Below are 5,811 nucleotides of genomic sequence, written 5' to 3' on the forward strand. Positions count from 1 at the left end.
TAAATTTCAACCTTCCCTAATTCATGCAACCTTTTTTTTTTTTTTTTTTTTTTGAGACAGAGTGTCGCTCTGTCACCGAGGCTGGAGTTCAGTGATGCAATCTCGGCTCACTGCAACCTCTACCTCCTGGGTTCAAGCTATTCTCCTGTCTCCGCCTCCCAAGTAACTGGGACTACAGGCGTGTGCCACCACTCCTGGCTAGTTTTTTGTATTTTTAGTAGAGATGGGGTTTCACCTTGTTGGTCAGGCTGGTCTCAAACTCCCAACCTCAGGTGATCCGTCCACCTTGGGCACCCAAAATGCTAGGATTACACACATGAGCTACTGCACCCGGCCTCATGCAACCTTTTAATAAACATAAAATGTCATTAGAAACTTCCAGTCAGGCGCGGTGGCTCACGCCCGTAATCCCAGCACTTTGGGAGGCTGAGGCGGGCGGATCACCTGAGGTCGGGAGTTCAAGACCAGCCTGGCCAACATGGAGAAACCCCGTCTCTACTAAAAATAAAAAATTAGCCAGGCGAGGTGGTGCATGCCTATAATCCCAGCTACTCAGGAGGCTGAGGCAGGAGAATCATTTAAACCTGGGAGGTGGAGGTTGTGGTGAGCCAAGATCTCGCCATTGCACTCCAGCCTGGGCAACAAGAGCAAAACTCCATCTCAAAAAAAAAAAGAAAGAAAGAAAGAAAGAAACTTCCAAATAAATGTTGTGACACAAAAAAAAAAACCCAAACAATATTCATTATAGAGTATGCAAATGACCATGCCCCACCCCCAGCAGATTCTGATAGACTCCCTTGGGTGGGAATCCTTGTCCAATATATTGACACTTCCCTTTCCTGTCAGTATAGCCCAGCCCATGCGTGTACTCACGAGCGGACGATGGATGACACAAGTACACAGAGGGACGGAATCCCTGCATGGTGTGGCTATGGGCAAATGTGGCCACTGTCTAGATTGTGCAAATGTGGTGGTTCTCTGGGGCCACAGAGCACACTTGGGGACCTGTTCATGGTGAGGTCTCAACTCCGGCCTCTAGGAACTTGAATGAGGACAGGAGGGTCAGAGGGAGAGCCTAGGAGGCTGAGCCAAGGAGCGTGGAGAGGAGAGACAGGGTGAAGATGGCGGCTGGCTTTCTGGAAGCAGGTGGCCTTTGGTGCGGTCAGCATTCGTGCCAGCCCCCTCTTCTCTGATCCTCTCCATGTGTCTCTCTCCTGGAATCCCAGAAGCTGCCCCTGACTCCCCATTAACTGCCTCTGCCCCTACCCCCTAGGTGATGCTTCTGGGAGACACAGGCGTCGGCAAAACATGTTTCCTGATCCAATTCAAAGACGGGGCCTTCCTGTCCGGAACCTTCATAGCCACCGTCGGCATAGACTTCAGGGTGAGGTGGCTGCAGGCACTTGCTTCCAGCAGAGAGCCAGGGCTGTGGCTCAGGCATGGGGGGGTTGCCCCCACCTTGCTCACCCTGGCTCCCAGGGACTCCCGAGGCTCATGCCTGGAGGGCACACAACCCGCTCCCCCAAGACCACAGAGGTGGCCGGGTCAAAGGAGACTGGGCAAGGTTGGCTCCTTGCCCAACTATAGGATGCAAAAAAATGAGACTGAGTCTTCGATTCCAGCTCCATTCCTGGGGGACTTCTCCCAAGCAGAGCAGCCGCAGGCACGGCATAAGCTGAATATCTTGGCCCACAGAGCCCCTGCTCATTGCTCTCCTACCTGGGCCCCTTTGGAAAGGCCTCAAAGGTCAATCAGTCTTTCTGGAGTTCCCAGAAAGCACAGCCCTGCACTGGGTTTAAGAGCTGGGCTTGGGCCGGGCATGGTGGCTCTTGCCTGTATTCCCAGCACTTTGGGAGGCCGAAGCGGTCAGATCACAAGGTCAGGAGTTTGAGACCAGCCTGGCCAACATGGTGAAACCCCGTCTCTACTAAAAATACAAAAATTAGCCAGGTGTAGTGGCACGCTCCTGCAGTCCCAGCTACTCGGGAGGCTGAGGCAGGAGAATCGCTCAAATCCGGGTGGTGGAGGTTGCAGTGAGCTGAGATCGCGCCACTGCACTCCAGCCTGGGCAACAAAGTGAGACTGCGTCTCAGAAAAAAAAAAAAAAAAGAGCTGGGCTGGCCATGTTGGGAGACAGCAGCTCACCAGGGACCCTCCCTCTCACCTTGACGACTCCATCTTACAAATCTGCATCAGGGATGCTAGACGCTGCACACCTGAAGTGTTCAATAGAGAAAAGGTCTCACCCTGGCAGGTGGGGCTCTACAGCTTCAAGCAGGCAGAAAGCGAACACTTCCTTCACTAGAGAATTAGTGGGCAGCTAAAGAAAAGGTGCTGCTGCAGATGTAGCCTCAGGTCCCCAGGATGCAGGCAAACACCCCATCTCCAGGGGCTCGGTCACAGTCCCAAGGCTAGGCTCCAGGAGAGGGAGACCGAAGTGGGAAAAGGGCAGGGCCTCCAGCAGCAACCAGCCCTCCAGCCCTGGGCTGCCTGATCCCTGGAGAGAGCCAGGATGTTTCTCAGGCTCCTCTTGCCCTGCTGTTGTGAGAAGGCAGTTACAGTCCTCAGAAGGGACGACTCCACAGTGGAGGTGTCTGGGTATGGGGTTCCTGCTGCCCTGATGGTATGATCTGGCTGGAGACGGTTCTGGGGCTCACTGCACCCACTCTAGGCCTGGAGAGGGAACAAGACAGGACGTCTGCAGAGCTGAGGAGCCACATGACTCCTGCCCTCCCATCCTCTGCCTTTTTCTCTTTCAGAACAAGGTGGTGACTGTGGATGGCGTGAGAGTGAAGCTGCAGGTGAGACCAGAGGCTGGAGTTGGGGAGGGAGGATGGAGGACCTGCCCTTCCTTCTCACCCTGAACCACAGGAGGCCTGCAGCCCTGCCCTCCGCCTGGGGCAATTTCCTGTGGGGCCCACGGGAGGAAATGGCTTTTGTTTATTTGACATCTGCAGAAAAAGCAGTTCCCAGGCACCCTCTCATCTATGAACAGCAGCTCCAAATGCCTTCAGACAAGCTTAGCCTCCATCCATCTCCTCCCCAGTTGCCAGGGCTTTATCTGCTCTTAGGAGATTGGACATCCCCAACCCCTGAGCTAGGGGAGAGGAGAAGATTCTTTTTTTTTCTTTTCTTTTCTTTTTTTTTTTGAGATGGAGTCTCGCTCTGTCGCCCAGGCTGGAGTGCAGTGGCACAATCTCGGCTCACTGCAACCTCTGCCTCCCAGGTTTAAGAGATTCTCCTGCCTCAGCCTCCTGAGTAGCTGAGACTACAGGTGCATGCCACCACACCTGGCTAATTTTTTGTATTTTTAGTAGAGACGGGGTTTCACTGTGTTAGCCAGGATGGTCTGGATCTCCTGACCTCGTGATCCGCCTGCCTCGGCCTCCCAAAGTGCTGGGATTACAGGTGTAAGCCACCGCGCTCGGCTGAGGAGATGATTTTGAACGAGCTTGAGAAATCAGTAACTGCTACTGTCCAGGTCATTGGATGCTCAGGGGCTCATGAGAACCTAAAGAAGAAAACAGCCCCACCTTCCCACAGATATCTCATACAACAAAGCAGGCCTGCTCCACCCAGCACATTCCTTGCACCTGCCTCCTTCTGACCATTTCTCCATCCCATCCCTTCCCAGATCTGGGACACCGCTGGGCAGGAACGGTTCCGAAGCGTCACCCATGCTTATTACAGAGATGCTCAGGGTGAGTCCCTCGCACCCTCCAACCCCTACCCCAGCCCCTTGGTAGCATCCGTGCTGCTGCCTAAGTCCCCTCTGTGATCCTCTCCCCTCCAGCCTTGCTTCTGCTGTATGACATCACCAACAAATCTTCTTTCGACAACATCAGGGTAGGTCCTCCCTTCCCCTGACTCCCACCCATAAGCAGCCAAGGCAAGGTCTATGCAGGCTGGGGTTGCTTCCTGCCCTGTGGAAAGCGGGTGGAGCGTGGAGTCCTCCTGCCTTCTGAAAAACACCTACTTGTGACTCAGAAGTCATATCTGCTGCTTTGTATTTGGTGGCCATGTGGGCATGAAGGCCAAGCAGGCTGTTGTGACCCTGTGCCACCTGCATAGCCCTCACTGTGATTCACGAGTGTGTTTCGTGACAAAGTGTTCAGAACAGCCCCCACTCCACCCTGGATAATTATCCACAGAGACCAAGGGAAAAACACAACCAGAAAAGTCCACACATACATCCAGGGCAAGTTGCAAGAAAGTGACTCAGTCAGACAGAGTGAGTGGTTGTATCCTCACAACCAAACTATTATAGAGACAAAAATTTGATAAATTCAAGCACCAATTTTGTTCACGACATTGTATAGGTTTCATGAATCCCCTGACCTCAAGGACAGTTTGCTGATAAGCAAACTAGGAGAATAAAACGTTTATATAGAAAGAGGAAAATCCATGGCACTCATACTCCTACCTCCAACCCCATGCTCATGGCAGACATCACTAATCAATCACAGTACTTTTGATCACTGAAACCCTTATGTGGTCTTAGAATCTTTAACAGGACACTCCAAGAAATCACTGCTGACAGCCAACTGATTTGTGAGATAAGGTCTCCATGCATCTGGATCTTCCATAGAACTGATAGTTGCACAGCATAAAATGGTGAGGGTGGGGCCATTGTGGGTTGAGCCACCAAGGAAGGCCATCCAGGCCTGGATGGGCCAGAACAAAGGTACAGATGAGAGAACGCACAGGGTATCGTGTTCAAGGTAGTGAGTAACTGAGGATAGTCAAACGGAGCAGAAGAAGAAAGGGGCAGCAGGAGGAAGAGAATGCCAGTCTCGCACGCCCTCTCCCACAGGCCTGGCTCACTGAGATTCATGAGTATGCCCAGAGGGACGTGGTGATCATGCTGCTAGGCAACAAGGTGAGTGGCTCCGGGGCAGGGTCAGCCCAGCCCTGCACTTCCTCAGCCCTAGCCGGCCCCATAACCACCCAAGAACAGTTATCTAGGCATCCTTCCTGAAAAGGACTCTGCAGCCTCCAGCTCAGGGGTCAGACATATCTGGAGGCTTCTGCCCATCCCATCTGCCCCTTCCAGGGAAAGTCCAAGTTGTTGCCTGAGAAATCAAGGGGTGCCCAGTTCTCAGCCCCCATTAGAGCAGAGTGAACAGGGTCCCAGGTCAGGGGCTAAGAGTGCAAAGGGTTAGCCCCAACTGCTGTCCTATTCCAAGACCCTTTACCAAAGGTGAGATCCCAGAGCTGGGAGCTACACTGGGCAGAAACCCTGGCCCCAGGCCAATCACACCTGCCTGCAGTCCCTTGGGCCACCAGCAGAGGGCAGGCAACGCCTGCTTCTGGGGCAAAATATGGGCCCGCTGGGGCGGAGGCCTCCTTCCCCAGAGTGACCCATTTGGGCTTGACAGGCGGATATGAGCAGCGAAAGAGTGATCCGTTCCGAAGACGGAGAGACCTTGGCCAGGGTAAGTGATTGTCTGTGGGACAGGGTGAAGGGTGGGGGCAACCCGACGCTGGCCCTGAGGACACTCTCTCCCGGGCAGGAGTACGGTGTTCCCTTCCTGGAGACCAGCGCCAAGACTGGCATGAATGTGGAGTTAGCCTTTCTGGCCATCGCCAAGTGAGAGCTGGGCAGGGAAGGGAAGTGTGCGGGGCAGGGCGGCACACTCCAGGAATCCAGTAGGGCCCGGCCCCTGGCCCAGCCCCTGGACACACCTGCATTCTGCAGGCTGAGGTCCATTTGCTCTGGGAGCACTGGGCCACTGGGAGAGGGGAGGGGGCGGCTCAGCTCCTCACCCCAGCCCAGCCCAGCCCAGCCCAGCCCATTGTCTCTTCTTCAAG

General features: G+C 54.1%; 1 protein-coding gene across 5 annotated transcripts in view, besides 1 other annotated feature; it reads left to right on the plus strand.

The window, feature by feature from the left end:
* Window positions 1–5,811, plus strand: part of RAB37 (RAB37, member RAS oncogene family) — a 76,205-nt gene that overhangs the window by 68,364 nt on the left and 2,030 nt on the right. For 3 of the 5 annotated variants that reach the window (NM_001330471.2, NM_001163989.3, NM_001006638.3), the window contains exons 2-8: window positions 1,274–1,384; window positions 2,760–2,801; window positions 3,635–3,701; window positions 3,794–3,846; window positions 4,814–4,879; window positions 5,379–5,435; window positions 5,514–5,590. In NM_001330471.2, the coding sequence (NP_001317400.1) occupies window positions 1,274–1,384; window positions 2,760–2,801; window positions 3,635–3,701; window positions 3,794–3,846; window positions 4,814–4,879; window positions 5,379–5,435; window positions 5,514–5,590 (473 nt within the window). The remainder of the gene's footprint in view (window positions 1–1,273; window positions 1,385–2,759; window positions 2,802–3,634; window positions 3,702–3,793; window positions 3,847–4,813; window positions 4,880–5,378; window positions 5,436–5,513; window positions 5,591–5,811) is intronic. The other 2 variants (NM_175738.5, NM_001163990.2) reach the window with 1 other exon arrangement.
* Window positions 3,058–3,207: an enhancer, noted in NCBI's record as "active region_12717". NCBI's record gives its function as "activates an Ori minimal core promoter by ATAC-STARR-seq in GM12878 lymphoblastoid cells {active_cell/tissue: GM12878}" and the evidence as "EXISTENCE:reporter gene assay evidence [ECO:0000049][PMID:35858748]".

Source organism: Homo sapiens, chromosome 17 (genome assembly GCF_000001405.40).
Source record: "Homo sapiens chromosome 17, GRCh38.p14 Primary Assembly".
NCBI lineage: Eukaryota > Metazoa > Chordata > Mammalia > Primates > Hominidae > Homo > Homo sapiens.